General features: G+C 50.3%; 1 protein-coding gene and 1 pseudogene across 2 annotated transcripts, besides 7 other annotated features; one reads left to right on the forward strand and one right to left on the reverse strand.

Moving 5' to 3' along the window:
• Positions 1 to 26737, reverse strand: WDR45 (WD repeat domain 45). 2 transcript variants are annotated; one of them, NM_007075.4, is made up of 12 exons: positions 26609 to 26737; positions 25764 to 26113; positions 3600 to 3671; positions 3396 to 3470; positions 3202 to 3306; positions 2204 to 2312; positions 1989 to 2083; positions 1425 to 1504; positions 1104 to 1312; positions 923 to 1024; positions 695 to 840; positions 1 to 471 (listed from the first exon to the last, which is right to left on the reverse strand). In NM_007075.4, exons 3-12 carry the CDS (start codon positions 3652 to 3654, stop codon positions 362 to 364), a joined length of 1086 nt encoding a protein of 361 aa, NP_009006.2. In that variant the 5' UTR covers positions 3655 to 3671; positions 25764 to 26113; positions 26609 to 26737; the 3' UTR covers positions 1 to 361. The 2 variants fall into 2 exon arrangements, with proteins under 2 accessions (NP_009006.2, NP_001025067.1); NM_001029896.2 differs by lacking the exons at positions 25764 to 26113; positions 26609 to 26737 and adding an exon at positions 5310 to 5446 and having other exon boundaries at positions 2204 to 2309.
• Positions 2748 to 3947: an enhancer, noted in NCBI's record as "BRD4-independent group 4 enhancer chrX:48934848-48936047 (GRCh37/hg19 assembly coordinates)". NCBI's record gives its function as "activates an origin of replication core promoter dependent on BRD2, P300/CBP, MED14 and CDK7 cofactors, and independent of BRD4, by STARR-seq in HCT116 cells {active_cell/tissue: HCT116}" and the evidence as "EXISTENCE:reporter gene assay evidence [ECO:0000049][PMID:35650434]".
• Positions 5397 to 5897: an enhancer, noted in NCBI's record as "H3K27ac hESC enhancer chrX:48937497-48937997 (GRCh37/hg19 assembly coordinates)". NCBI's record gives its function as "activates a minimal SCP1, AML or CMV promoter by ChIP-STARR-seq in primed H9 embryonic stem cells {active_cell/tissue: H9 hESC(primed)}" and the evidence as "EXISTENCE:reporter gene assay evidence [ECO:0000049][PMID:30033119]".
• Positions 5397 to 5903: a biological region, named in NCBI's record as "Sharpr-MPRA regulatory region 1999".
• Positions 5609 to 5903: an enhancer, noted in NCBI's record as "tiled region #1999; HepG2 Activating DNase matched - State 1:Tss". NCBI's record gives its function as "activates a minimal TATA promoter and a strong SV40 promoter by Sharpr-MPRA in HepG2 cells {active_cell/tissue: HepG2}" and the evidence as "EXISTENCE:reporter gene assay evidence [ECO:0000049][PMID:27701403]".
• Positions 5609 to 5903: a silencer, noted in NCBI's record as "tiled region #1999; K562 Repressive non-DNase unmatched - State 1:Tss". NCBI's record gives its function as "represses a minimal TATA promoter and a strong SV40 promoter by Sharpr-MPRA in K562 cells {active_cell/tissue: K562}" and the evidence as "EXISTENCE:reporter gene assay evidence [ECO:0000049][PMID:27701403]".
• Positions 6146 to 6215: a silencer, noted in NCBI's record as "silent region_20835". NCBI's record gives its function as "represses an Ori minimal core promoter by ATAC-STARR-seq in GM12878 lymphoblastoid cells {active_cell/tissue: GM12878}" and the evidence as "EXISTENCE:reporter gene assay evidence [ECO:0000049][PMID:35858748]".
• Positions 7587 to 7724, forward strand: RNU4-52P (RNA, U4 small nuclear 52, pseudogene; annotated as a pseudogene).
• Positions 26103 to 26182: an enhancer, noted in NCBI's record as "active region_29628". NCBI's record gives its function as "activates an Ori minimal core promoter by ATAC-STARR-seq in GM12878 lymphoblastoid cells {active_cell/tissue: GM12878}" and the evidence as "EXISTENCE:reporter gene assay evidence [ECO:0000049][PMID:35858748]".

Below are 27657 nucleotides of genomic sequence, written 5' to 3' on the forward strand. Positions count from 1 at the left end.
TGCCATTAAGGGCCTTTTATTCGTATTCATCACATCGGAGATCATCTCTTCCTAGGAAGCTTTTAAAAAATCCCCAGGTTGGATTAGGGCACTCCCTCTGGGTCCCTGGCAATTTCCTCCAGGTTAGGGATCCCAAGGGGTCGCTGCCTTCCTGGGTCTCTGGCCTGGCCCTTGGGGCACACAGTCATCAAGAAGTGCTGGGGGGAAGTGAGCTCTTTATTTAGACATAGCTCTGCTGAGTGGAAAGTGGGCACCAGCCCCATTAATGCTTGCTGGCTGGTGGCTTCCAAGCACGCCCCACTGCCAAGGCTCAGCTCTGCAGTTCTGCCACTGCAGGTCCCTAGCACAGCCCCCAGGGTCCTTAAAAGTCATCATCATCACAGATGTCAAGGTACACGTCGAAAGCCTCTCTGTTGCAGTTTCCATCAGGAGTGAAGACATATTTGTGGAAGGTCCCATCTACGCAGATGGCTGGGGGAGGGGGGGTGGTAAAAGGTCAGAGGCTGCCACAGCCACAGGCTCCAGTCCTCTCAGGCATCTCAGGACCTAGGGTCTGCCTCCAGGCCTTTGCCCAGTGCTGTCCCCCTTACTGATGATGAAGCTGAGCCTCACATGGCCCTAAAATCCTTTCAGGTCCAACCTGCAGGCCTTTGCCCCATGCAGTACCCCCAACCAAGGGGCTGTTCCCACTCACCAATGACAGAGTTGACGTTCTTGGAAGTATTGCGACCGAAGGCGCAGATGCAAGCTGACTCAGCAGGCACAGTGAAGCTCGCCAGGCTCCACTGAGAGTCCACGTACTGCCCAATCATAGGCCCCACCTTGCCCACGCGAGCCAGCCTGCAGGCAGCACTGGCTAAGCCCAGGTATGGTAAATGGGCAGGGGGACAGGGACACGGTAGGGTGGGGAGGGGGTACTCACGCGGAGCGGCGGTTGAGGCGGGTATCCTTGAGAGCAAAGATATGGACAGTACCCTTATCACTGGAAGCGCAGAGGAAGGAGGAGTCGTGGCTGAAGTTAATGCTAGAAGACAGATCAGCAGTGATGCCCACATGTCATGTGGTATGGGGTCACCAGCCCACCATGCATACCCTGTGCTCACCAGTAGAGGGTGGCAGGGTCAGTGCCTCGGCGCAGCTCCACCAGTTTCTCCTTGGATTGTGTGTCAAAGAGGCGAATAAGGGTACCCTTCTGGGAGGCTGAGGCCACTACAGTGCCTGGCTGGTTTAGAGACACACAGGCTATGTCACTCTGATGTGCATTGATCGTGAATGGAGCAGACGAGGTGCCAGGCTTTGTGCTCGCCAGGTCCTGGGGTAGGAGGGAGGAGTCTGAGGTTGGGGTGGTATGGAGGGAAGGGGCCAAGAGTCCACAAGGAAGCCAGTCCACCAACCTACCCACCCTTGTCCACTGGACGGCTCACCACAAGTTGCAGACTCCCACACTTGTGTCCCGGGAACACTAGCAGTTGCTTCTCCAGGCTGGGGCAGAGGTCACAGAGCCCTAGGGTGTGAAGATGGGGGGTGGGGTGGGCGGCTGAAGAGGAGGCAGCATCTCAGAATGGACAGAGCTGGATGAGGACCAGACTTCAACCCTCCACGATAAGCTTAACCCGAAGAACCCTGAGGGGGCTCAGCTCAGCTGCACGCCCCGCCAGCTAGGCAGATTCCATTCCTTGCTCTGCAGCTGTGGAATCTAGTAAGCTGCTATCACAGCCCCAGAAGCTCAGGGATCCCTGACACACCCACCCATGTCCTCACGAGGTGTTTTTGCTCTGCCACTGGGGTACCCAGGGGTGGGGCAGGTCCGGAGGTGGGGAGAACTGGCTGAGGGCTGGAAAGATGGAGAGGCTATGAGTGTGAGCATCTCCCTGCCTCTTTCCCCATTTCTCTGTGTGTGAGTGCCCCTTCCTTTCTTTCCTCATCTCTGCCCCTCTGCCCCATCCACTGTTTCATGCCCTTACACCTGTGTATCTGAGCCCTCTCACCCTTGGGGTTGTCCCGGGTATCAAACTCAAACAGCTTTCGGGGATTGTCGGGGAAGGAGTACACATAGATGCGGTTCTTCAGCACGATCACGATCCTGTGGGTATCACACAACACAGGATGGCCGTGAGGGGGTGGCGGGATGCCCAGGGAGGACTATCCCTCTCACTTACTGTGGGGACCTCCTACCTCCCACCCCGGTCCTCCTCAGGCTCACTTGTCATGGCGCATGCGCACAGAAAGCACTGGCTTGGTGAAGGTGAACTCCAGCACCAGCTTCTCCTTGGAGTCCTTGCCCTCCCGGGCATCGTCCCAGATCAGCACTGCTGGGCAGGTGGGTGGGTTGTCGGGGCCAAGGTTTAGGGTAAGGGGCAGCCCTGGTGACACAGGATCCACCCCTGCTTCCCAGGGACCTCAACCTACTTGCTTAGCCTTTCAATAAACAACCAGTGAGATCCTCGCACAGCACGAGCACTTGTGGATATGATCCCTGAGAGGAGTGTTCTAGACTGTTACACTCATCTACAGATGAGGAAACTGAGGTTCAAAGTGGTTGAGTGTCTGGCCAAGGACCTCAAAGCTCATCAGCAACCAAACAGGGACTCACACTCAGGCCTGTAACTTCCCCTCGGTAACTATTTCTGCCTCCAGGGTCCTAGTCCATGCACCCTGGAGATTTCCGTGAGGAATCCTAGGGCTCTGTGACTCACCTAGGGCAACTCCTGCCTTGTCCAGATGGGATCATCAAGAAAAACCCTTAAAGTAAGATGGCACTTGAGGCTCAAGCCAAGGGGGTATTGGGAAGACGGCTCCAAGATTTTAAAACCTATTGCTTGTGTGACCTTGGATGAGTCACTTAACTGCACTGGGCCTCAGTTTCCTCATCGGTAAAGATGGGGATAATGATCCTTCCTACCCCATAGAGTTACTGTGAGGATTAAATGAGTTAATAAACGTAAAGTGCTTAGGGCAGTTCCAGGCTCACAGTAAGTGCTCTAGGGCATGGCACACAGGAGGCACTCAATCAGAATTTTTAAAATGAAAACAAAGCACCAAGCTTCTCAAGCTATAAGATCCATGACTTCCAAGCTGTAGGCCTCCTCTCTGTGTGACTCTGAAGTACTCTGACGTCTTCATCTGCCAGTACCTTGGGGTGCCTGTGGGAGGCCAGGAATCCGAGAAATCTGGGCCAAAGGGCAGGATGAGGGCACTTACCTGAGATCTCTGAGAACTTGGGACTACTACCACCGCCCACCAAGGCCAGAAGGTTGGAGCGGTGCAGCATCTCCACCAAGCCCATGCTGCCCACCTGCTCGTGGTCTGGACAGGGACCAGGGTGTCAGTGGAGGTGGGAGCCAACGCCCAGCCCAGCTCTTCTGCCCATTGCCCCTCCCCTGCCAACAGCTCACCCAGATGCCCCTTCTCCATCAAGGGCTCCACGTTGTAGATGCGCACACCTGTCTCCATGGCGCAGCAAAAGCAGCCTGGGGGATGGAAGGAATCCAGACTGCCTTAAAGAATGCCCAGGTAGGAAGCTGGGGGCCCATGGCCCACTTCTGACCCCTCTTTTCCTCGCTTCCTCCCACAAGGGTACAGGCCCAATCCTCTCTCACTTTGGTCTTGGTTGAAACGCAGGCTGGTCACTCCTCGAAGTGGCTGTTGAGTCATGGTGCAGGATTGTTCCTCTGCATACAAATGGGATAAAGATGAGAAGAGTCCTGGAATCTCCCCTCCAAGTTCTGCCTCACCTGATTTCCTCCTCCTACTCTGCTAACTACTGACTCTGGAGTGACTGCAAAAAAGATAAAAACAGGCCAGGCGTGGTGGCTTATGCCTGTAATCCCAGCACTTTGGGAGGCCAAGGCGGGTGGATCACCTGAGGTCAGGAGTTTGAGATCAGCCTGGCTAACATGGTGAAATCCCGTCTCTAATAAAAATACAAAAGTTAGCCGGGTGTGGTGGGGGGCACCTATAATCCCAGCTACTCAGGAGGCTGAGGCAGGAGAATTGCTTGAACCCGAGAGGCTGAGATGGCAGTGAGCCGAAATCGAGCCATTGCATTCCAGCCTGGGTGACAGAGCGAGACTCCGTCTCGGGGGGAAGAAAAAGATAAAAACAGAGAGTCCCAGGGTCTCTGCTCTAAGCTCCCAAGATCCCAAACAACATGGCCAGGAACCCTCCTTCTTTCAGGTTTGGCAAGCTCCAGGCCCACACTGACGTGGACCCCACACCTCCTCTTTACATGCTGGCCCTCACTGACTTGTCAGGAAGTAATGTGATAGGGGGTGCCCCCGTGATATCTCCTCCCCACCGCCAGCCAATCTTGATCCCAATGCCAGACATGGCCTGGAACCACTCCCAACCCATTTCTCATCTTCAAACCTGACCTAGCACCGGACTCTCTCAATAAATAGACAAAAGTGGGCTAGGAGATGCACTTCTTGTACCTCCCTGACTTGGCCCTGGGACTGCTATGCTTGGTCTGCCATCCCCAGGAACTCCTCTGCTCATACCCTTCTAACTGTACCCCAACCTATTTGACCACCCCAGAGTCCTCTCACACCTTTCCCCCTCAACCGGCTTCCCCAAACTCCTTCAGGATGCCTACCTTGGGATGACCCCTTCTCATGCCTTGGTAACTACCCTTCAGGGCCAGCCTAGACATTCCCTTAGATTGGCTTATGCCCTGGGGACTCTACCCTAGGATTCCCCCTAGCACTCTAAATTTTCCACCCCTGGGACATCTCCTTCCTTGTGTTCTGCTGTCCTTGACTACAACATAACCTGGCCTGGACCCAACCCCAGGAACCCCCCCCATCCTCCTAAGATTCCCCCTCTAGACCCCTATCCAAGACCCCGCCCCAGGGCACCCTTGCCTTCTAAGACCCTTGCCCAAAACAAACCACCCAAAACTCCTACCTAGGAGAACCTCAACCCCTAAGATGCCTGCGCAGTCCCCTACTAAGATTACTGCCATAGAGCCCCCAACTTCCCTTCAAATCCTCAACTCCCCAATAACTCTGGCCAGACATACTCCCTCCCCCATCCTCCAAGAGTCCAAATCTCCTTCCTTTCTTTCAGTTACACCCTCCACTGGAATGCCTCATGCTCTTTCTTTGGACAGCTCTGCCTTAGAGTTATTCTCTGGACAGCTCCAACTTTCAACACCCCTTTTTTGCACCTCCATTCCAAGACTCTGTCCGGGATGCCTCGCCCCTCTCCCAAGACCAGCCGCATGCTCCTTCCAACGCCAGCACCCACTCAAGACCTCTGCCTTAGACCCCTACTCGAAAGACTTCCAGCCTCCCCCAGACCCAACCAACCCTGGGATCGTGCTCCAGCTTCCTGCCGCCTTCACCGGCCTGACCTCCGCGTGTCCCTGACCCGGGCCCCAGCTGTCGGTGCCGCCCGCGGCCCGGTTTTCTGACCTCCCGGGCCTTGGAGCCCGGCTCGGGTGTTTACATCAGGCCCTACTTCCGGGGGAGGGAGCCTGTCGCAGGAAATGACTCACCCCAGCTGGAAAAAGGCGGCCACCGCCTTCCTCGCCTAGTTCCCGGGTCTTCGGAGCATCGCGAGTGACAGTGGGGTTCTCCGGGGAGGGCGCGGGGAGCGGAGGAAGGTTGGCTGGGGGACCGGAGGCGAAGGGGGTTCCTCAAGGCCGAGACTGTCTGAGGGAACCCGGAAGGGTGGGGAGAGAGAGCGTGCCTTGCCCCCAGCAAAGCGAAACCGGCCAAGCCCTCAGCCCCTTGGTCACCCACAATGGGGGAGTAAACCTTCCCTGCTAACAAGACGCGGACCTCCGCGGCGGCCGAGAGTAGCCGCCCCGGTTCGCAACACACAGTCCTCCCAGGCTTCCAGAGGGGCGGCGCTGGGGGTTACAGGCGGGGGCGGACCTGGAGACCTTGAAAGTGGAGAAACCTCCTTGGCTCCGGGAAGCCAAGGAACAGATTTCGCTTTCTTTCTCCCCACCCTGTCCCCCCAACCCCGCCAGCTCTGAGTTTTGTCTTTTGTGTTTTGTTTAGTTTTGTTTTCTGAGACAGAGTCTCGCTCTGTCTCCCAGGCTGGAGTGCAGTGGCGCGATCTCGGCTCACTGCAACCTCCGCCTCCCGGGTTCAAACGGTTATCCTGCCTCAGCCTCCGGAGTAGCTGGGACTGCAGGCGTGCGCCACCACGCCCATCTAATTTTTGTATTTTTAGTAGAGACGGGGTTTCACCATGTTGGTCAGGCTGGTCTCGAACTCTTGACCTCAGGTTATCCACCCACCTCGGCCTCCCAAAGTGCTGGGATTACAGGCTTAAGCTACCACGCCCGGCCTCTGCTTTTATTTTTACAAAATACAAAATAGCTTTTTGATAGTAAAAGGTATGAATGCTTTGGGTTAAAAAAAAAAAAAAAAAGAGGTCCTACCTATGATAAAGCTTTTAAAAAAAGGCCCCAAATTATATGCATACTGGAAGGAATTTTTTTTTTTTTTTTTTTTTTTGATTAACAGAGTTTGGCTCTTTTTGCCCAGGCTGGAGTGCAATTAGCGCGATCTTGGCTCACCACAACCTCCGCCTCCCGGGTTCAAGGGATTCTTCTGCCTCAGCCTCCCCAGCCTCCCAAGTAGCTGGGATTACAGGCATGTGCCACCACGCCCAGCTAATTTTGTATTTTTAGTAGAGACCGGGTTTCTCCCTGTTGATCAGTCTGGTCTTGAACTCCTGACCTCAGGTGATCCGCCTGCCTCGGCCCCCCAAAGTGTTGGGATTACAGGCGTGAGCCACTGCGCCCGGCTGGAAGGATTTTTAATTAAACTTTACATTAAGAAATAATAAATAGGCTGGGCGCGGTGGCTCACGCCTGTAATCCCAGCACTTTGGGAGGCCGAAGCAGGCAGATCATGAGGTCAGGAGTTCGAGATCAGCCTGGCCAGCATGGTGAAACCCCCTCTCTACTAAAAATACAAAAAGTTAGCCAGGCATGGTGGTGCGTGCCTGTAGTCCCAGCTACTCGGGAGGCTGAGGCAGGAGAATCACTTGAAGCCAGGAGGAGGAGGTTGCAGTGAGCAGAGATCGCACCACTGCACTCCAGCCTGGGTAATAGAGTGAGACTCTGTCTCGAAAAAAAAAAAAAAAGCCGGGCGTGGTGACACGCGCCTGTAATCCTAGCTACTGGGGAGGCTGAGGCAGGAGAACCACTTAAACCTAGGAGGCGGAGGTTGCAGCAAGCCCAGATCCTGCCATTGCACTCCAGCCTGGGAGACGAGCGAAATTCCCGTCTCAAAAAAAAAGGGCTGGGCATGGTGGTGCATGCCTGTAATCCCAGCAATTTGGGAGGCCGAGGCAGGTGGATTGCCTGAGCTCAGGGGTTTGAGACCACCCTGGGTAACACGGTGAAACCTCCTCTCTACTAAAATACAAAAAATTAGCCGGGCGTGGTGGCGGGCACCTGTAAGTCCCCTACTTGGGAGGCTGAGGCAGGAGAATCATTGGAACCCAGAAGGCAGAGGTTGCAGTGAGCCAAGATCGCGCCACTGCACTCCAGCCTGGGCAACAGAGGGAAACCCTGTCTCCAAAAAAAAAAAAAAAAAAAGAATATTCTTGAAAAAAAAGAAATATGCTTTTTGCAGTGGCAGTATCATAGCCAATGAGGTTTAGCCAAGGTGTGGATATTGCTAATTGGAAACTTCCCAATACCCCGCCCCGAAGACTTGCAATATAGTCGGCATTGGCAATTTTTGACAGTCTATGAAGACTGAATATTAAAGAAAAAATACAGAGAAATCTCATACTTTTAATACAATCAGGGTTTCACATTGATGAAATCCCCCCTTTACTTTTTTTGAAGTATTGTTTTGATGCTTCTGTTTTTTCATATATTAATATATAAGAACATCTTTTTAACTCATCCTTTTTAACTGGTTCATGATATTATGTAGCATTGTTCAGCCCTTCCCCAACTGATGGCTGCCTAGGTTGTTTCAGATACTGTGTCGTCAATTCCCATGTATATATTTACTTGTGAATTTTGGCCCTATATACTCCCCTTGGCATGATTCCATTACTGTGCTCCTCAACAAGGCCAATCATCTGGCTTTCTTCAGACTCCACTTCCTCATGTCCCAGACCATATTCAACTCAATTCAATTTGGTGTTTGTCACTCCTGTGTCTTTGGGACTGCTCTTAACCAGACCACTGATGAATAATAATCTTGCCAAACCAGCAATCACTTCTCTGCCCTCTCCTGTGACTTTCTAGTGAAACCCACAATTTCTTCCTCTCACTCTCTTGGTTTTTCTTTTTCTTTCTTTCTTTTTTTTTAAGATGGAGTCTCACTCTGTCACCTAGGCTGGACTGCAGTGGCACGATCTCGGCTCACTGCAACCTCTGCTTCCTGGGTTCAAGTGATTCTCCTGCCTTAGCCTCCTGAGTAACTGAGATTACAGGCATGCACCACCACGCCCAGCTAATTTTTTTTTTTTTTTTTGAGACGGAGTCTCGCTCTGTCATCCAAGCTGGAGTGCAGTGGGGCGATCTCGGTTAACTGCAACCTCCGCCTCCCGGGTTCAAGCGATTCTCCTGCCTCAGGCTCCCAAGTAGCTGGGATTATAGGCATGCACCACCACGCCCGGCTAATTTTTGTATTTTTAGTAGAGACGGGGTTTCACCATGTTGGTCAGGCTGGTCTCGAACTCCTGACCTCGTGATCCGCCCGCCTTGGCCTCCCAAAGTGCTGGGATTACAGGCGTGAGCCACCGCGCCCAGCCTAATTTTTGTATTTTTAGTAGAGATGAGGTTTCACCATATTGGCCAGGCTGGTCTGGAACTCCTGACCTCGTGATCCACCCATCTCGGCCTCCCAAAGTGCTGGGATTACAGGCTTGAGCTACCACGCCCGGCCTCTCGTTTTTTTTTTTTTTTTTTTTTTCTCCATCTCTGGCTACTCCTCCACTTGTATCAAACTTCCAAATATTAGAATATCCTTGGGTATAATCCTGTCTGATCCTCTCTTCCTAAGTGACTTCCTCTTCTCCTGTAGCCTTAATTATTGCAAATATTTGGAAGATCCTCTAGGCCTTCAGCTTAGACCTTTCTCTGGAACACCAGACTCAAACGTACTGTAATGACCTGTTTGACATTCATGTGGGTGTCACATACTGCTTATCCATCCAAACAGATTTGTTCTATTTCCTTTGCTCAGATGCTCCCCCACTGTCTCCTTCATCTCAGCCAATGGCATCACAATACAGTTTGTGGCCAGGCGTGGTGGCTCACGCCTGTAATCCCAGCACTTTGGGAGGGCGAGGTGGGCGGATCACTTGAGGTCAGGAGTTGAGACCAGCCTGGCCAACACGGTGAAACCCCATCTCTACTAAAAATACAAAAATTAGCTGGGTGTGGTGGTGCACACCTCTAATCATAGCTACTCAGGAGGCTGAGGCGGGAGAATCGCTTGAACCCGGGAGGCGGAGGTTGCAGTGAGCTGAGATTGCACCACTGCACTCCAGCCTGGGTGACAGAGCGACACTCTGTCTAAAAAAAAAAAAAAAAAAAAAGAATAAAAATTAAAATACATTTTGTTACTTGAGTCAAAGAGCAGATATATCATGCTTAATTCCCCTCCATTTTCTTTTTCTTTTTTCTTTTTTTTTTTTTTTTGATAGAGCCTTGCTCTGTCGCCCAGGCTGGAGTGCAATGGTGTGGTCTCAACTCATTGCAACCTCCGCCTTCTGGGTTCAAACGATTTGCCTGCCTCAGCCTCTCAAGTAGCTGGGATTACAGGTGCCCACCACCACACTCAGCTAATTTTTGTATTTTTAGTAGAGACGGGGTTTCACCATCTTGGTCAGGCTGGTCTCGAACTCCTGACCTCAGGTGATCCACCTGCCTTGACCTTCCAAAGTGCTGGGATTACAGGCATGAGCCACCATGCCCAGCTGATTCCCCTCCATTTTCATTGGCAAATTCTGTTGGTCGCACTGTCAAAAGTTATCATGGGCTGGGCATGGTGGCTCATGCCTGTAATCTCAGCACTTTTGGGAAGCTGAGGTGGGAGGATTCCTTGAGGCTAGGAGTTTGAGACCAGTCTGGGCAAGTCCCTGTCTCTACAAGAAAAAAGGTGTCATGCACTCTCAGTCAAAGTGGAATAACAGGGACCAACTTTGTCCTCTCACAGGAAACAACCAACTTTGCCCCCCACAAAAAAACCAAAATACATGAAACAATGATTTTTTTTTTTTTTGACGGAGTCTCACTCTGTTGCCCAGGCACAATCTCACAATGGCAAGATCTCTGCTCACTGCAACCTCTGCCTCCCAGGTTCAAGTGATTCTCCTGCCTCAGCCTCCTGAGTAGCTGGGGTTACGGGCACCTGCCATCATGCCTGGCTAATTTTTATATTTTTAGTAGAGATGGGGTTTCACCATGTAGGCCGGGCTGGTCTTGAACTCCTGACCTCAGGTAATCTGCCCGCCTCGGCCTCCTAAAGTGCTGAGATTACAGGTGTGAGCCACCGCGCCCGGCTGAAACAATGATTTTTAAGACATTAGACATCAGGCACCAAAGGACAGTGATCCCTGAAAGATGGGAAACAACGTGAGCACTACAACTGTCCCAGCACACTGCCTGGAGAGCTTCCATGCTATGGCACTGGAACGGGAAACTGAGGCAGCGCCTGGTGGACTCCCTAAGTTGAGGTGGTCCAGAGAGACAAGGGCAGCTGGAGTTAAAAGGACAGAATGTCAGCAGAGAGGAGCACAGAGAATCACAGAGATCTGCAGAGGGTCCCCCTTCAGTATTTAGCGGAGTGCTTATCAACACATGCATATGAGGCAGCTACCTAAGGCCAGGAAAAGAACCATCCAAATGGATTGGAGGGAACAGGTCCTGACACTCACATGGAGCTTCTGAAAATAGTGCCTGCACCCACCAACCAGACTGGAAAACTCATAATTCACAGGGCATAGAGTACACAGGAATGTCTTGTCTCAGTTGTGGGGAGTAACTAGCCCTAGACTTAGTATTGCTCCAGGCTCACTTTACACATCATAAAAGAAGACCCTAAAAGATCCTTAGGAATAACAAAGATTGATAAGAATTAAAAAAGACCCAGCTCCTAAAAAGGTAAAGTTGACAATGTCTGTTATCCAAACAAAGATTACCAGGCATAAAAAGAAGCAGGAGGCTGGGTGCAGTGGCTCATGCCTGTAATCCCAGCACTTTGGGAGGCGGAAGGTGAGCAGATTGCTTGAGCCCAGGAGTTGGAGAAGAGCCTGGGAAACATGGTGAAACCCTGTCTCTACAAATAATTTTAAAAGTTAGCTGGGAGTGATGGCGTGTGCCTCTAGTCCCAGCTACTCAGGAGGCTGAGGTGGGAGGATTGCTTGTGAGCCATGATGGGGCCATTGCACTTCAGCCTGGGTGACAAAGAGTGAGACTCTGTCTCTAAAAATAAATACATAAATAAAATGGACAATATTCCAATGACCTAGTAATCTGTGGAAAGTTGGATGAAAGTTTAGGTATTCCAGACTTGTTCAAATTAATTGTATCTATATCTCAGAGAAAATCTTCCTCAAAACATGATTTTTTTTAATTGGGGAGACAGCTTCCAATGTAAACTGAAAGTGCACACCCAAAACACAAATATCTAAGGTAAAAATTACTCTGCTCAGACCCAGTTGAGCCAGCTTTAATATTAGTGTCCCTCCTTTATTACCACAAAGGGGTCCCAATCCAGACCCCAAGAGAAGGTTATTTGAGATGGAGTTTCACTCTTGTTGCTCAGGTTGGAGTGCAATGGCGTGATCTCGGCTCACTTCAACCTCTGCCTCCTGGGTTCAAGCGATTCTCCTGCCTCAGCCTCCTGAGTAGCTGGGATTACAGGTGCGTGCCACCATGCCCGGCTAATTTTTGTATTTTTAGTAGAGACGGGGTTTCACCATGTTGGTCAGGTTGGTCTCGAACTCCTGACCTCAAGTGATCCACCCACCTGGGCCTCCCAAAGTGCTGGGATTACAGGCATGAACCACCGTGCCTGGCCCAACATCTCTTTAAACAACTGCCCCTGGGCATGGGTGGGTGGGTGGAGGATGTGACTGAGCTGAGATGCTCCTTTCTCTCTGGGACTGATAAATTTTGCATACTTTACATAGCTCAGACTGCCCTTGGGCTATTTGTCTTTTCTCTTTTTTTTTTCCCCGAGGCGGAGTCTTGCTCTGTCGCCCAGGCTGGAGTGCAGTGGCACAATCTCCGCTCACTGCAGCCTCCGTCTCCTGGGTTCAAGTGATTCTTCCGCTTCAGCCTCCTGAGTAGTGGGGATTACAGGCGTGCACCACCACGAGGGCTAGTTTTTGTATTTTTAGTAGAGATGGGGTTTCACTGTGTCGGCCAGGCTGGTCTGGAACTCCTGATCTCAAATGATCTGCCCGCCTTGGCCTCCCAAAATGCTGGGATTACAGGCGTGAGCCACTGTGCCCAGCCTCCTTTTTTTCTTTTTTAGAGACAGGGTCTGGATCCTCCTGTCTCTGCCTCCCAAAGTGCTGGGATTACAGGCATAAGCCACCGCTCCCAGCCTAGTTTTATTTTCTCAGTGCAAATTTAGGAGCCATCAGTATACTGTTTTTGTTTTTTTGTTTTTTGTTTTTTTTTTTTAAAGATAAAGAAGGCTGGGCATGGTGGCCTACACCTGTAATCCCAGCACTTTAGGAGGCCAAGGCAGGCAGATCACCTAAGGTCAGGAGTTCAAGACCAGCCTGGACGACATGGTGAAAGCCCGTCTTTACTAAAAATACAAAATTAGCCGGGCATGGTGGTGCATGCCTGTAATCCCAGCTACTTGGGAGGCTGAGGCACGAGAATCTCTTCAACCCGGGAGGCAGAGGTTTGCAGTGAGCTGATATCGCACCATTGCACTCCAGCCTGGGCAACAAGAGCAAAACTGCGTCTCAAAAAAGAAAAAAAATTAGCTGGGTATGGTGGCACATGCCTGTAATCCCAGCTACTCGGGAGGCTGAGGCAGGAGAATCACTTGAACCCGGGAGGTGGAGGTTGCAGTGAGTCGAGATTGTGCCACTTTGGTCCAGCTTGGACAACAGAGCAAGACCATATCAAATAAATAAATAAATAAAATGAAATGAAAGAGATCACCTAGCAAGTGATGTAAATAAAGAAGAGGTTCTAGGACTAAGACGTGGGACATTGCTAAGATATAGGGCTCAGGGGAACCAGGAGGAACTAGCAAGACTGAATAGGAGAAGCCATCGAGGCAGGAGCAGAGCCAAGAGAAGATTCCAGAAAGTCAAAGGAAAAAGCATTTCAAGGACAGGTGCGGTGGCTCACGCCTGTAATCTGAGCACTTTGGGAGGCCAAGGTGGGAAGACTGCTTGAGCAGTTGCTGAGATTGTTTTAGCCGGAGGTTGAGGCTTCAGTGAGCCATGATTGTGCCACTGCACTCCAATCTGGGCAACAGAGCGAGACCCAGTCTCAAAATTTTTAAAAACACAAAAAATCAGTGGCAGTTGTTTAACATCATAGCTGGTTGAGATGGTGATAAGAGCTGGAGTAAACAAGCAACAGACCAAAAAGCATGAAAGGAAAAGCTGGGGAATGAGATGTCTATGAAAAGTTCTGACACACTGCTGGATATCTGGAATGCCATATGCATGCCCATGCATAGGGCTGTGAGCATGCCCAAGAAAGAACCAAGAAAAGGCCGGGTGTGGTGGCTCATGCCTGTAATCCCAGCACTTTCGGAGGGTGAGGCGGGTGGATCACTTGAGGTCAGGAGTTTGAGACCAGCCTGGCCAATGTGGTGAAATCCTGTCTCTACTAAAAATACAAAAAAAGTTAGCTGGGCGTGGTGGCGTGTGCCTGTAATACCAGGTACTCGGGAGGCTGAGGCAGGAGAATCGCTTGAATCCTGGAGATGGAGGTTGCAGTGAGCTGACATCACACCATTGCACTCCAGCCTGGGCAACAAGAGCAAAACTCCGTCTCAACAACAACAACAACGAAGAGAACCAAGAAGGCCTTAAGCTCTTATTTGTGGGGGACCTTCAGGCTTTGGGCAAGGAAAAAGTGAAGGCTAAGGCACAGTTGTGAACTACCTGAGGGAGTGTTCTAGGTATTCTCCAACATACATGGACACACATTAGGCAAATGCTGGAAGAAGTAATGGTTCAAGGCATTTAAGGGAACCTTTGCCTAACCGTTATCTGGTCAGTAAGCTAATGAAGCAGGGCCTTCAGTGGCCACACACAACAAAGAATACACACTTTATAGAATTAGTTCAGAAAAGTTGCTAAACAGGCTCATAGTAGCTCATGCCTTTGGGAGGCTGACATGGGAAGATGGCTTGAACCCAGGAGTTTGAGGTGCAGTAAGCTATGATCATGCACTACAATCCAGCCTAGACAACAAGAGGGAGACCTTATCTCAGAAACAAACAAACAAACAAAAAGAAGTCACTAAACAGCAGTGATAATAAAAACAAACAGCAGCCACAACAAACCCTGGGAAGGAGACAATCTGAATTTCAGAGTTGCCACATTATTTAAAATGTCCAGATTAAAAAATGCAAAGAAACTAGAAAGTAGGCCAGACACAGTGGCTCACGCTTGTAATCTCAGCACTTTGGGAGGCCAAGGTGGGTGGATCACCTGAGGTCAGGAGTTCGAGACCAGCCTGGCCAACATGGTGAAACTCTGTCTCTACTAAAAATACAAAAATTAGCTGGGCGTGGTGGCGCACGCCTGTAATCCCAGCTACTCAAGAGGCTGAGGTGGCAGAATCACTTGAACTCAGGAGGCGGAAGCTGCAGTGAGGCAAGATCATGCCACTGCACTCCAGCCTGGGTGACAGAGGGAGGCTCCATCTCAAAAAATAAATAAACTAGAAAGCATAGCCCATACACAGGAAAGAAAAAAAGAAGAAAAAAACCGGTAAATAAAAACTTCCACTGAGGAAGCTCAGATGTTGGAATTACTAGACAAAGTTTTTTTTGAGACAGAGTCTCACTCTGTTACCCAGGCTGGAGTGCAGTGGTGTGATCTCAGCTCACTACAACCTCAGCCTCCTGGGTTCAAGCGATTCTTGTGCCTCTGCCTCCTACGTAGCTGGAATTACAGGCATGTGCCACCACGCCCCACTAATTATTGTATTTTTAGTACACACAGAGTTTCGCCATGTTGGCCAGGCAATATAGTGAGACCCCATCTCTACAAAAAAGTAGCTGGCCATGGTGGTGCATGCCTGTAGTCCCACCTACTCAGGAGGCTATGGCAGGAAGATCGCTTGAGCCTAGGAGGTGGAGGTTGCAATGAGCTGAGATCGGGCCACTGCATTCCAGCCTGGGTGACAGAGCAAAACCTTATCTCAAAAAAAAAAAAAAAAAGAAAAGAAGAGAAAAAAAGAAGTACTGTACTTATACGTGTGGTACAACATGGATGAACCTTGAAAATATTATGCTATATGAAATAAGCCAGACACAATAGGCCACATATTTTTATGATTAATTTATATGAAAAACCAAGATAGGCAACTTCATAGAGACAGAAAATACATTCGTGGTTTTTAGGAGCTAAAGGCTAGGGGATGGGTGGAATAGTGACTGGTAATGGCTATGGGGTTTCCTTTAGAGGTAATGAAATAAAGGAATAAAGGTTTTTTTTTTTGAGACAGGAGTCTGACTCTGTCCAGCCTGGAGTGCAGTGGTGTGAACTTGGCTCACTGCAACCTCTGCCTCCCAGGTTCAAGCGATTCACCTGCCTCAGCCTTCCGAGTAACTGGGATTACAGGCGCCTGCCACCGCGCCCGGCTATATTATGTATTTCTAGTAGAAACGGGATTTCATCATGTTGGCCAGGCTGGTCCGGAACTCCTGACCTCAGGTGATCCACCCGGCTGTGCCTCCCAAAGTGTTGGGAATACAGACATGGCCACCACACCCGGCCCAAAATAAAGCTTCTTGAATTAGATAGTGTTGATGTCTGCACAATCTTGTGAATGTACTAAAAACCACTGAATTGCACACTTTGAAGAGGTTGGTTCTATGATATGTACATCTTACCTTACAACTATAAGAAAAGGAATGACCTATTGAAACATGGAACAAACCTGGTGAATCTCCAATAATTTTTTTTTTTGAGATGGAGTTTTTTGCTCTTGTCACCCAGGCTGGAGCAATGGCACGATCTCAGCTCACTGCAACCTCCGCCTCCTGGGTTCAAGCAATTCTCCTGCCTCAGCCTCCCAAGTGGCTGGGACTACAGGCACCCGCCACCATGCCCAGCTAATTTTTATATTTTTAACATGGGCAGAGTTTCACCACATTGGCTAGGCTGGTGTTGAACTCCTGACCTCAGGTGATTCACCTGCTTCGGCCTCTCAAAGTGCTGGGATTACAGGTGTGAGCCACCGTAATCCAGGCCTTTTTTTTTTTTGAGACGGAGTCTCGCTCTGTCACCCACACTGAAGTGCGGTGGCGCGATCTCGGCTCACTGCAACCTCTGCCTCCCAGGTTCACGCCATTCTCCTGCCGCAGCCTCCCAAGTGGCGCCCGCCACCATGCCCAGCTAACTTTTTTTTGTATTTTTAGTAGAGGCGGGGTTTCACCGTGTTAGCCAGGATAGCCTCAATCTCCTGACCTCGTGATCCGCCCGCCTCGGCCTCCCAAAGTGCTGGGGTTATAGGTGTGAGCCACTGCGCCCGGCTTCCAATAACTTTTATAGAGTGAAAGAACTTAGAGAGAGCTAGTCTTGGTGGCTCATGCTTGTAATTCCAGCACTTTGGGAGGCTGAGGCGGGTGGATCACTTGAGCTCAGGAGTTCAAGACCAGCCTGGCCAACATGGCAAAACCCCATCTCTACCAAAAATACAAAAATTAGCTGGGCGTGATGGTGCACGTCTGTAATCCCAGCTACTTCAGAGGCTGAGGCAAGAGAATCACTTGAAACCGGGAGGTGGAGGTTGCAGTGAGCCGAGATCGCACCACTGCACTCCAGCCTGGGCGACAGAGCGAGACTCCGTCTCAAAAATAAAGAAAAGAAAGAAGGAATTGGCCGGGCGCGGTGGCTCACGCCTGTAATCCCAGCACTTTGGGAGGCCGAGGCGGGTGGATCATGAGGTCAGGAGATCGAGACCATCCTGGCTAACAAGGTGAAACCCCGTCTCTACTAAAAATACAAAAAATTAGCCGGGCGCGGTGGCGGGCGCCTGTAGTCCCAGCTACTCGGGAGGCTGAGGCAGGAGAATGGCGTGAACCCGGGAAGCGGAGCTTGCAGTGAGCCGAGGTTGCGCCACTGCAGTCCGCAGTCCGACCTGGGCGACAGAGCGAGACTCCGTCTCAAAAAAAAAAAAAAAAAAAAAAAAAAAAAAGAAGGAATTTAGAAGAGTTCATACTAAGATGCACTTATATAAAACTCTTAAAAAGGCAAAATATGCCAGGCGCGGTGGCTCACGCCTGTAATCCCAGCACTTTGGGAGGCTGAGGCGGGTGGATCACGAGGTCAGTAGATCGAGACCATCCTGGCTAACACGGTGAAACCCCGTCTCTACAAAAAATTAGCCAGGCGTGGTGGCACTTGCCTGTAGTCCCAGCTACTCGGGAGGCTGAGGCAGGAGAATCGCTTGAACCCGGGAGGCGGAGGTTGCAGTGAGCGAGACCACGCCATTGCACTCCAGCCTGGGCAACAGAGCAACACTCCATCTCAAAAAAAAAAAAAAAAAAAAAAAGGCAAAATATAACAAAGTATATTTTGTACACTTTGTTATATTTTGTATACTTTGTTATATTTTGTATGCTATAGTAACAAAGCAGATCCGTGGTTGCTTGGGGATGAGGTGGGGCAGTTAGGAAGGGAATTACAAAGGGGCATGAGGAAACTTGGAGATGATGATATGTCCACTATCTTGATTATGGTGATGGTTTCATGAGTGTATGCATATGTTATTTTTTTTCAAAACAAATACCTAACACTTCTGTTTCTTGGACCAATTTTTTTTTTAACTTGCCCTGCCCCCACCACCTGCTTGGACCAAAATATAATACCTATTTATGTCCTAAAAAAATAGTAGCAGTTTAGAAAATCGACAACACATAGATAGAAAAAAAAATTGTTAAATAACTACAATTGCTTATTAATGGATGCATGTTTGTTAGACTCTGCACACCTTCCCAAACCTTAATCAGATTGTCTGATATCACCTAAATCACTTTATCCATGCTGATTTTTGTCAGGTGTTTGCTTTTTATCACAGAAACTGCTGTAAACCCAGCTTTGCAAAAAGATGTCATTGAAAGAAAAGTAGTTCAATGTAACTTTGAAACTTTGAACTCCCTTGAATAGTTTATGAGGTATCTGACATGTTGAGTACCCATATATTTCCCTCAAACAATTTAAAGCATCTTACAGCGTCCCTGAGAATTCACTATGGCACTCTGAGGTGCCTCAACACAGTTTGGGAACTGCAATCCTAACTCACGCAGGTCTGTGTTTCCTCATTCTGTTTCTTTTCACTTAGTATTATGGTTTTTTTGTTTTGTTTTTTAGAGGGAGTCTCTGTCACCCAGGCTGGAGTGCAGTGGCGCCATCTCGGCTCACTGCAACCTCCGCCTCCTGGGTTCAAGCCATTCTCCTGCCTCAGCCTCCCAAGTAGCTGGGATTACAGGTGCCCACCACCATGCCTGGCTAATTTTTGTATTAGAGACGGGGTTTCACCATGTTGGCCAGGATGGTCTCGATCTGACCTCGGCCTCCCAAAGTGCTGGGATTACAGGTGTGAGCCACTGTGCCTGGCCAGTATTATGTTTTTAAGCTGGATACTTTGTTTTCTTTTAATAGAGATGGGGTCTTGAGGTCTCACTATGTTGCCCAGGCTATATTTTTTTTGAGACGGAACTTTGCTCTTGTCACCCAGGCTGGAGTGCAATGGCACGACCTCAGCTCACTGCAACCTCCACCTCCTGGGTTCAAGCAATTCTCTTCCCTGGGATTACAGGCTTGAGCCGCTGAGCCCGGCCAGCCCAGGCTAATCTTGAACCACTGGGCTCAAGTAATCTTCCTGTCTCAGTCTTCCAGAGTGCTAGGATTACAAGCGTGAGCCACCACAATCAGCCTTCTTTTTTTTTTTTTTTTTTAATGAGTCAGGGTCTCCCTCTGTCACCCACACTGGAGTGCAGTGGTGTGATCATAGTTCACTGCAGCCTGCAGCCTCGAACTCCTGGGCTCAGGCAATACTCCCACTTCAGCCTCCCAAGTAGCTGGGACTACAGGCACACTTCACCATGCCCAGCTTTTTAAAACATATTTTTTGTGAAGATGCGGTCTCATTATGTTGGCCAGGCTGGTCTCAAACTGCCGGACTCAAGTGATTCTCCCACCTTGTTCCCCAAAGTGCTGGGATTACAGGTGTGACCCACCTTGCCTGGCCCGGGGTGTCTTTTTTTTCTGAGATGGAGTCTCACTCTATCGCCCAAGCTGGAGTGCAGTGGTGTGATCTCAGCTCACTGCAACCTCCACCTCCTGGGTTCAAGCGATTCTCCTGCCTCAGCATCCCCAGTAGCTGGAATTACAGGCACACACCACCATGCCTGGCTATTTTCTGTATTTTTAGTAGACACAAGGTTTCACCATGTTGGCCAGGCTGGTCTCATAGGGTGTCTTTAACTAGCATGGAACCCACAAGGTCCACTCATTCATTTTTGTATTACCTCCCAGGCTCAGCATGGTGCCTGAACCTCTATAAGGAGGCAATGTGTGTTAAGAGAGACAGGAGGGGTCAGGTGCGGTGGCTCACACCTGTAATCCCAGCACTATGGGAGGCCAAGGCAGGCAGATCACTTGAGGCCAGGAGTTCGAGACCAGCCTGGCCAACATGGCAAAATCCCGTCTTTACTAAAATTGCAAAAATTAGCCATGCGTGGTGGTGTACGCCTGTAATCCCAGCTATTTAGGAGGCTGAGACATGAGAATTGCTTGAACCCGGGAGTTTGAGGTTGCAGTGAGCTGAGATCGCCCCACTGCACTCCAGCCTGGGTGAAAAAATAAGACTGTCTCAAAGAAAAAAAATTTTTTTTTTTGTAGAGACGGGGTTTCCCCACGTTGCCCAGGCTATAACTGTACTTTAAAAGACACAATACTCTAGAGATGTCATTACAGTTAGTAGATTATTATCTTAATTGACCCTAAATTCGCTATTTTGGAGCTAAGCAACCAATTACGGCCTGGTGGTATATTCACCTGCTCCTTAGATGGAGGTTCTGTGAAGGCAGCAGCTCTGTCCATGTTGTTTACTGTAGGGCTGAACACTGACCTTGAGACATAGTTGGCACTCAAAATTATATGTTGAATGACAGAATTTTGATTAGGTGGATCTAACGCATTTGAAATAATTCATAGGGCTGGGCACGGTGGCTCAAGCCTGCAATCCCAGCACTTTGGGAGGTGGAGGCAGGCAGATCGCCTGAGGTCAGGTGTGCAAGACCAGCTTGGCCCCAGCCTCCCTAGTAGCTGGGATTACAGGCATGCACCACCACGCCTGGCTAATTTTGTATTTTTAGTAGAGATGGAGTTTCTCCATGTTGGTCAGGCTGGTCTCAAACTCCCGACCTCAGGTGATCTGCCTGCCTTGGCCTCCCAAAGTGCTGGGATTATAGGCATGAGCCACCGAGCCCGACCATCCTGGACATCTCTTAACCCAGCTTTCCCTCTGCAAAGGGAGCATGCATTTCAGTGAAAGTTTAGAAGAATTACAGTGATATCACTTTCATGAATCAAAATTGGCTACTTGACTTCAGTAATTTGTGAAAATTACTGTTGCGGCTGGGCATGGTGCCTCACACCTGTAATCCCAGCACTTTGGGAGGACAAGGTGGGAGGATTGCTTGAGCCCAGGAGTTCGAGACTGGCCTGAGCAACATGGCAAAATTCCATCTCTACAGAAAATACAGGCTGGGCACGGTGGCTCACACCTGTAATCCCAGAACTTTGGGAGGCCAAGGCGGGCGAGCCTCCTGAGTAGCTGAGACTATAGGTTCACACCACTACATCCGGCTAATTTTTTTTTTTTGAGATGGAGTCTTGCTCTGTTGTCCAGGCTGGAGTGCAGTGGCACGATCTCGGCTCACTGCAACTTCTTCCTCCCAGGTTCACGCCATTCTCCTGCCTCAGCCTCCCGAGTAGCTGGGACTACAGGCGCCCGCCACCACGCCCAGCTAATTTTTTGTATTTTTAGTAGAGACGGGGTTTCACCATGTTAGCCAGGATGGTCTCGATCTCCTGACCTCATGATCCGCCCACCTTGGCCTCCAAAAGTGCTGGGATTACAGGTGTGAGCCACCGTGCCCGGCCTTTTTTTTTTTTTTTTTTTTTTTTGAGGCGGCATCTCGCTGTCACCCAGGCTAGAGTGCAATGGCGTGATCTGGGCTCACTGCAACCTCCGCCTCCCGGGTTCAAGCAATTCTCTGCCTCAGCCTCCTGAGTAGCTAGAATTACAGGCGCCAGCTGCCAAGCCTGGCTATTGTTTTTGTATTTTTTTTTTTAGTAGAGATAGGGTTTCAATAAGTTGGCCAGGCTGGTCTTGAATTCCTGACCTTGTGATCCACCCACCTCGGCCTCCCAAAGTGCTGGGATTACAGGCATGAGCCACCCTGCCCGGCCAAGTTTTACATTATTAAGCTATCCATGTTCTCTTGGGAACTGAACTTTTTTTCCTCTTGATGCTCTGGATTTGACATTGCACTTGACTTTTTATGTAGTAACTGACATGTGCCAGAGTTGGCATCTTCCCCCAAGTCCAAGCATCATGAGTAACTCTTGCTTATCTCTCTCTCTCTCTTTTTTGAGACAGGTTTTGCTGTCACCTAGGCCGCAGTGCAGTGGCGTAATCATGGCTCATTGCAGTCTCAACCTCCTGAGCTCACTCAATCCTCCCACCTCAGCCTCCCATGTAGCTGAGACTACAGGCACGCACCACCACACCCAGCTAAATTTGTTTATTTTTGTAGAGACTAGATCTCACTATGTTGCCCAGGCTGGTCTTGAACTCTGGAGCTCAAGCGATCCTCCTGTCTCAGCCTCCCAAAATGTTGGCATTATAGGCGTGAGCCACTGCACCCTGCCTTGCTTATCTTTATAGATTCAAATGGTAGGCATTTCCCATCACCTAATTCCTTTTTTTGTTATTGTTGAATAGGGTCTTGCTCTGTTGCCCAGGCTAGAGGGCAGTGGCCCAATCACAGCTCACTGCAGCTTCAATCTTTTGGACTCAAGTAATCCTCCTGCCTCAGCCTCACAAAGTGCTGGGATTACAGGCATGAGCCACCAGGCTTGGCAAGTGATGACATTTTTTATTTTTATTTTTTGAGACTGAGTTTCGCTCTGTCGCCAGGCTGGAGTGCAGTGGCACAATATCGGCTCACTACAACCTCCGCTTCCTGGGTTCAAGCGATTCTCCTGCCTCAGCCTCTCAAGTAGCTGGGACTACAGGTGCACACCACCATGCTCGGCTAATAAGAGATGGGGTTCCACCATGTTGGCCAGGATGGTCTCCATCTCTTGACCTCGTGATCCGCCCACCTCGGTCTCCCAATGTGCTGGGATTACAGGTGTGAGTTACTGCGCCTGGCCAGCAAATGATGAAATTCTTATAATTTAAATGGCTACAGACTTAAAAGGCAAGCTATATACATTGAAGCACTTTTTTTTTTTAGCATTTGTACTTTTCAAATAGACCCATTCTTTTATTAATAAGCTAAAGATTTTCTTTTCCTCCCCCATCTTCTTTATTTGTAAATACTTTTGGGTGTGTTTCTTTTAGTTAAGTATGCACAACAGATAAGAAAGGGTGTGTTTCTGTTATTTATTTGAGATGGAGTTTCACTTTTGTCGCCCAGGCGCCCACCACTAGCCCCAGCTAATTGTTTTTTTTTTTTTTTGAGACAGAGTCTCGCTCTGTCGCCAGGCTGGAGTGTGGTGGCGTGATCTGGGCTCACTGTAGCCTTCACCTCCTGGTTTTAAGCGATTCTCCTGTCTCAGCCTCCCGAGTAGCTGGGACTACAGGCACGTGCCACCATGCCCAGCTCATTTTTTGTATTTTTAGTAGAGATGGGGTTTCACAATGTTGGTTAGGATGGTCTTGAACTCCTGACCTCAGGTGATCTGCCCGCCTCGGCCTCCCAAAGTGCTGGGATTACAGGCATGAGCCACCGCGCCTGGCCTCCCCCAGCTAATTTTTGTATTATTATTATTATTATTTTTTTTTTTGAGATGGAATTTTGCTCCTGTTGCCCAGGCTGGAGTACAATGGCGCAATCTCGGCTCACTGCAACCTCTGCCTCCCAGGTTCAAGCGATTCTCCTGTCTCGGCCTCCAGAGTAGTTGGGATTACAGGCGTTAGCCACCACACCTGGCTTATTTTTTGTATTTTTAGTAGAGATGGGGTTTCACCATGTTGGTCAGGCCGGTCTTGAACTCCTGACCTCAGGTGATCCACCTGCCTTGGCCTCCCAAAGTGCTGGGATTACAGGCACGAGCCACTGTGCCCGGCCTATTTATTTATTTTTTGAGATGAGGTCTCTGTTGCCCAGGCTGGAGTGCCGTGGTGTGATCATGGCTCACTGCGGCCTCTAATTGCAAGGCTTAAGTGATCCTCCCACATCAGCCTCCTGAGTAGCTGGGACCACAAGTGTGTACCACCAAACTGGGCTAATTTTTTGTAATTTTTGTAGAGACGGTGTCTCACATTGCCCAGACTGGTCTCAAACTCCTGGCCTCAAGTACTCTCTCTTTAAAAAAGATAATACTGCAGGGCATGGAGGCTCATGCCTGTAATCCCAGCACTTTGGGAGGCTGAGGTGGGCGGATCACTTGAGGTCAGGAGTTTGAGACCAGCCTGACCAACATGGCAAAACCTGGTCTCTACTAAAAATACAAAAATTAGCCAGGAGTGGTGGCGAGCACCTGTAAATCCCATCTACTCGGGAGGCTAAGGTGCGGGAATTGCTTGAACCTGGGAGGCGGAGGTTGCAGTGAGTCAAGACCGTGCCACTAAACTCCAGCCTGGACAACAGAAGGAGAACCTATCTTAAAAAAAAAAAGAAAAAAAAAAGGTAATAAAGGCTGGGTGCAGTGGCTCATGCCTGTAATTCCAGCACTTTGGGAGTCTGAGGCAGGAGGATTGCCTGAACGCAGAAATTTGAGACCAGCAGGGCAACATTGTGAGACCTCATCTCTACAAAAAGTAAAAAATTAGCCAGGTGTAGCGTGGCGCACCTGTACTCCAAGCTACTTGGGGGGCTGAGGTGGGAGGATGGCTTGAGCACAGGCTGTCCAGACTGCAGTGAGCCATGACTTCACCATTATACTCCAGCCTGGGTGACAAAGAAATACCCTGTCTCTACCCCCCCACCAAAAAATGAGTTAATATAGCTTATTGTATGTTTGGTTATACTGTAATCTTTAGAACAAAATCCCAAACAAAAACAATGCACCCCTCACTTCCTATGGCATCTGAGTGGCGAAACTGAAGTATATACAAAGTATTATATGAAACGGAAGTATATACAAAGTATTATACAAAAGTGAAGTATACATGTTACAAAGCCAGCCACTCTCAGAAACATCCAGAGGAGGGGCCTGGCACAGTGGCTCATGCCAGTAATCGCAGCACTTTGGGAGGCCCAGGTGGGTGGATTACCTGAGGTCAGGTGTTTGAGACCATCCTGGCCAACATGGTGAAACCCCATCCCTACTAAAAATACAAAAATTAGCTGGGCGTGGTGGTGCGTGCCTGTAGTCCCAGCTACTCGGGAAGCTGAGGCAGGAGAATCGCTTGAACCCGGGAGGCAGAGGTTGCAGTGAGCCGAGATCACACCACTGCACTCCTGCATGGCAACAGAGTGAGACTCCATTTCAAAAAAAAAAAATCCAGAGGTGACTAATTGCCCGGACTTCAACTGAACCTTTGAAGAGTGCTACCCAGTACTCCAGTTCCCACACACTCACAGTTAAAATAGCAACCTTTTTCCTCATTCCTGAGAAAAGAGGGATAAAATAACAATCTAAGAGAAAAGGAAAGAACAATGTTTCTGGGGCGGGCGTAGTGGCTTATGCCTGTAATCCCAGCACTTTGGGAGGCTGAGGCAGGCGGATCACGAGGTCAGGAGATCGAGACCATCCTGGCTAACACGGTGAAACCCTGTCTCTACTAAAAATACAAAAAATTAACCGGGCGTGGTGGCGGGCGCCTGTAGTCCCAGCTACTCAGGAGGCTGAGGCAGGAGAATGGCGTGAACCCGGAAGGTGGAGCTTGCAGTGAGTCGAGATCGCGCCACTGCACTCTAGCCTGGGCGACAGAGCGAGACTATGTCTCAAAAAAAAAAAAACAAAAAAAAACAAAAAAAAACACACAGTGTTTCTTGGGACCAGACCTGATATCAACGTTGTTTCTTGGGACCAGACCTGATATCAACGTTGTTTCTTGGGACCAGACCTGATATCAAGGTTGGCTGTTTTCAGCAGTGGAGGCAGCACTACGCTATTGGAGTTTCTAAGCTAATTAAGGGAATTTTTTCCCACTTAGTGAAAGCTGGGGCCTCAGGGCTCAGGCTTCCTAACATTTTGGGCACCCAGTTAAAAGATCAACAGTCCCCTGTCCCTTCAGCATGTGACTCACCCCAGGGCAATGAACTGGGCCCACGGCTCCATCTGCATCTATATCCCTGTAAATCATGGATTTATACATATTGGTGCATACGTTTATAATGCTTGCAATATATACTTCCATTTCAACTTACATATATATAAAATGTAACAATTTCTTTTCTTTCTTTTTTTTTTTTTTTGAGACGTAGTTTCGCTCTGTCGCCCAGGCTGGAGTGCACTGGCGCGATCTCGGCTCACTGCAAGCTCCGCCTCCCGGGTTCACGCCATCCTCCTGCCTCAGCCTCCTGAGTAGCTGGGACTACAGGCGCCCGTCACCACGCCCGGCTGATTTTTTGTATTTTTTTAGTAGAGACGGGGTTTCACTGTGTTAGCCAGGATGGTCTCGATCTCCTGACCTCGTGATCCACCTGCCTCGGCCTCCCAAAGTGCTGGGATTACAGGCGTGAGCCACCGCGCCCGGCCAAAATGTAACAATTTCAACCTGTAAAAAGATAAGTGGTCACCTTACCTATGATGTGGATTAAATAAGACGTGTCAACGCAGCCATCCTGCCCCATCCGACCAGACCTTAATGCTCCAAAACCATCAGTTTGCGCCTGGAAAACTGGGGAAAGTGTTTATTCCCTTACACAGGCTTCGCCAAAGGCCCTGACACTTAGGGCTTTTTCACTGCTGCAAACGTTGGACCGGCTTGTGAGAAGGAGTACAGTTAATCTAACTTTGGTATACTGTATCCAGAGACCACAGAGGGCTCGCTCTGCGATTTATGGTGCGAGGAAGACCAGACACCCGCTGTGCCCGTCCTACTCCTGCAGATCAAACTCAAAGCCACACTTTCCGGAGTGAGAAACGGGACAGTAAATGAACGCAGGAACCACGGTGCGCAGGCACAGAACCCCGCTGGGTTTGCTACGAAGGTTGAGGTGGAAGCGCCCAGCGCACCAGGCGCCACGGCCCGGTGTGTGACCTCACTAACCTCCACCAGCGCGCACCCTGTCCTGCCCCTTCACGGGCGAACAACCCCACACGAGGCAGTGGTGTGGGAGCCAGTACCCGGAACCGTAAAAGCACGACTTTCCCGGAGCCCAGGCACTGAATGGCACCCACTGCGCATGCCCCAGAGCGGCGACGAATGGGAGCCCGGAGCGCAGGGGCGGAGGCGCGCCCGGGCAGCTACCGAGAAGCGCCAATCAACCATCGACCAATCAGATCATCACCGTCAATCGTCATCGACCAATCAGAGCCCACCGCGCCCCGGCCTTAAGCCAGTTGCTTGTTCCGCGGCGGGAGGGTTGGGTCAAGACTAAGCCTTCGGGGGAGAGGGCAACGCGGTGGGCGGGAGAGAGGCCGAGGGCCGCTCGGGTCTGGGAGTGCCAACAGGACGGGATGGGCACGAGCATGCCGGGCCCCGCGCGGGGGAGGGGCTCTTTCCTTACCCCACACAAAAAGGTGTGCCCGGGTTGGCTGCCCCTGCCCAGTGTTGTGGCTCCATGTGGACGCTTTCGTGCGCGCGTCCCTGCCCCGCGCGCGGCAGGCCATTCCAGGCTGTGGGCTGCGGGCTCTGGGGTCCGAGGGTCGGACACGCTGGGGAGTGGACACCCCTAGGGTCACACAGACAGGGCTTTGGACACCCACAGGGGCACACACATTGGGGAGTGGGCACTCCTGGGGTCACACAGACCGAGGTGCAGGGATGTAGGGGGCGCCCGTCCAGGGGTAGTTGGTGGTGGCTGAGGGTGAGGGCAAGGTAAGGACTGGGAGGAGATTTCTGGTTCCCTGACTGGGCCAGGGTTTTCCTGTGCAGGTGAGGGGAGTAGGCCGGGGCCTCTCGTTGGTGGGGAGGGCTCCAGGAGCCTGTCCCAACCCTGCAGGCCTCTGGCTGAGCCTCACAGAAGGGAGCTCTGAGATGGGCTGTGCAGCAGGGGAAAGAAAAAGAGAGGTCGGTCGCCTGTTCTGGGTTCTTGACCATCCACCAGTGGTGGTGGAGCCTGGAAGTCTGAGGGAGGAGGGTGAGGAGGCGCTTGA

Source organism: Homo sapiens, chromosome X, assembly GCF_000001405.40.
Source record: "Homo sapiens chromosome X, GRCh38.p14 Primary Assembly".
In the NCBI taxonomy this organism is placed as follows: Eukaryota; Metazoa; Chordata; class Mammalia; order Primates; family Hominidae; genus Homo; species Homo sapiens.

Excerpts from the sequence above, each read along its gene's own strand:
- WDR45 (NM_007075.4), bottom strand. The coding sequence starts at position 3,654 with ATGACTCAACAGCCACTTCGAGGAGTGACCAGCCTGCGTTTCAACCAA. Across the intron at positions 1,505-1,988 it reads TACCCGGGACAACCCCAAGG|GGCTCTGTGACCTCTGCCCC; the intron begins GTGAGAGGGCTC and ends TTCACACCCTAG. Across the intron at positions 841-922 it reads CGCCTCAACCGCCGCTCCGC|GCTGGCTCGCGTGGGCAAGG; the intron begins GTGAGTACCCCC and ends TGCTGCCTGCAG.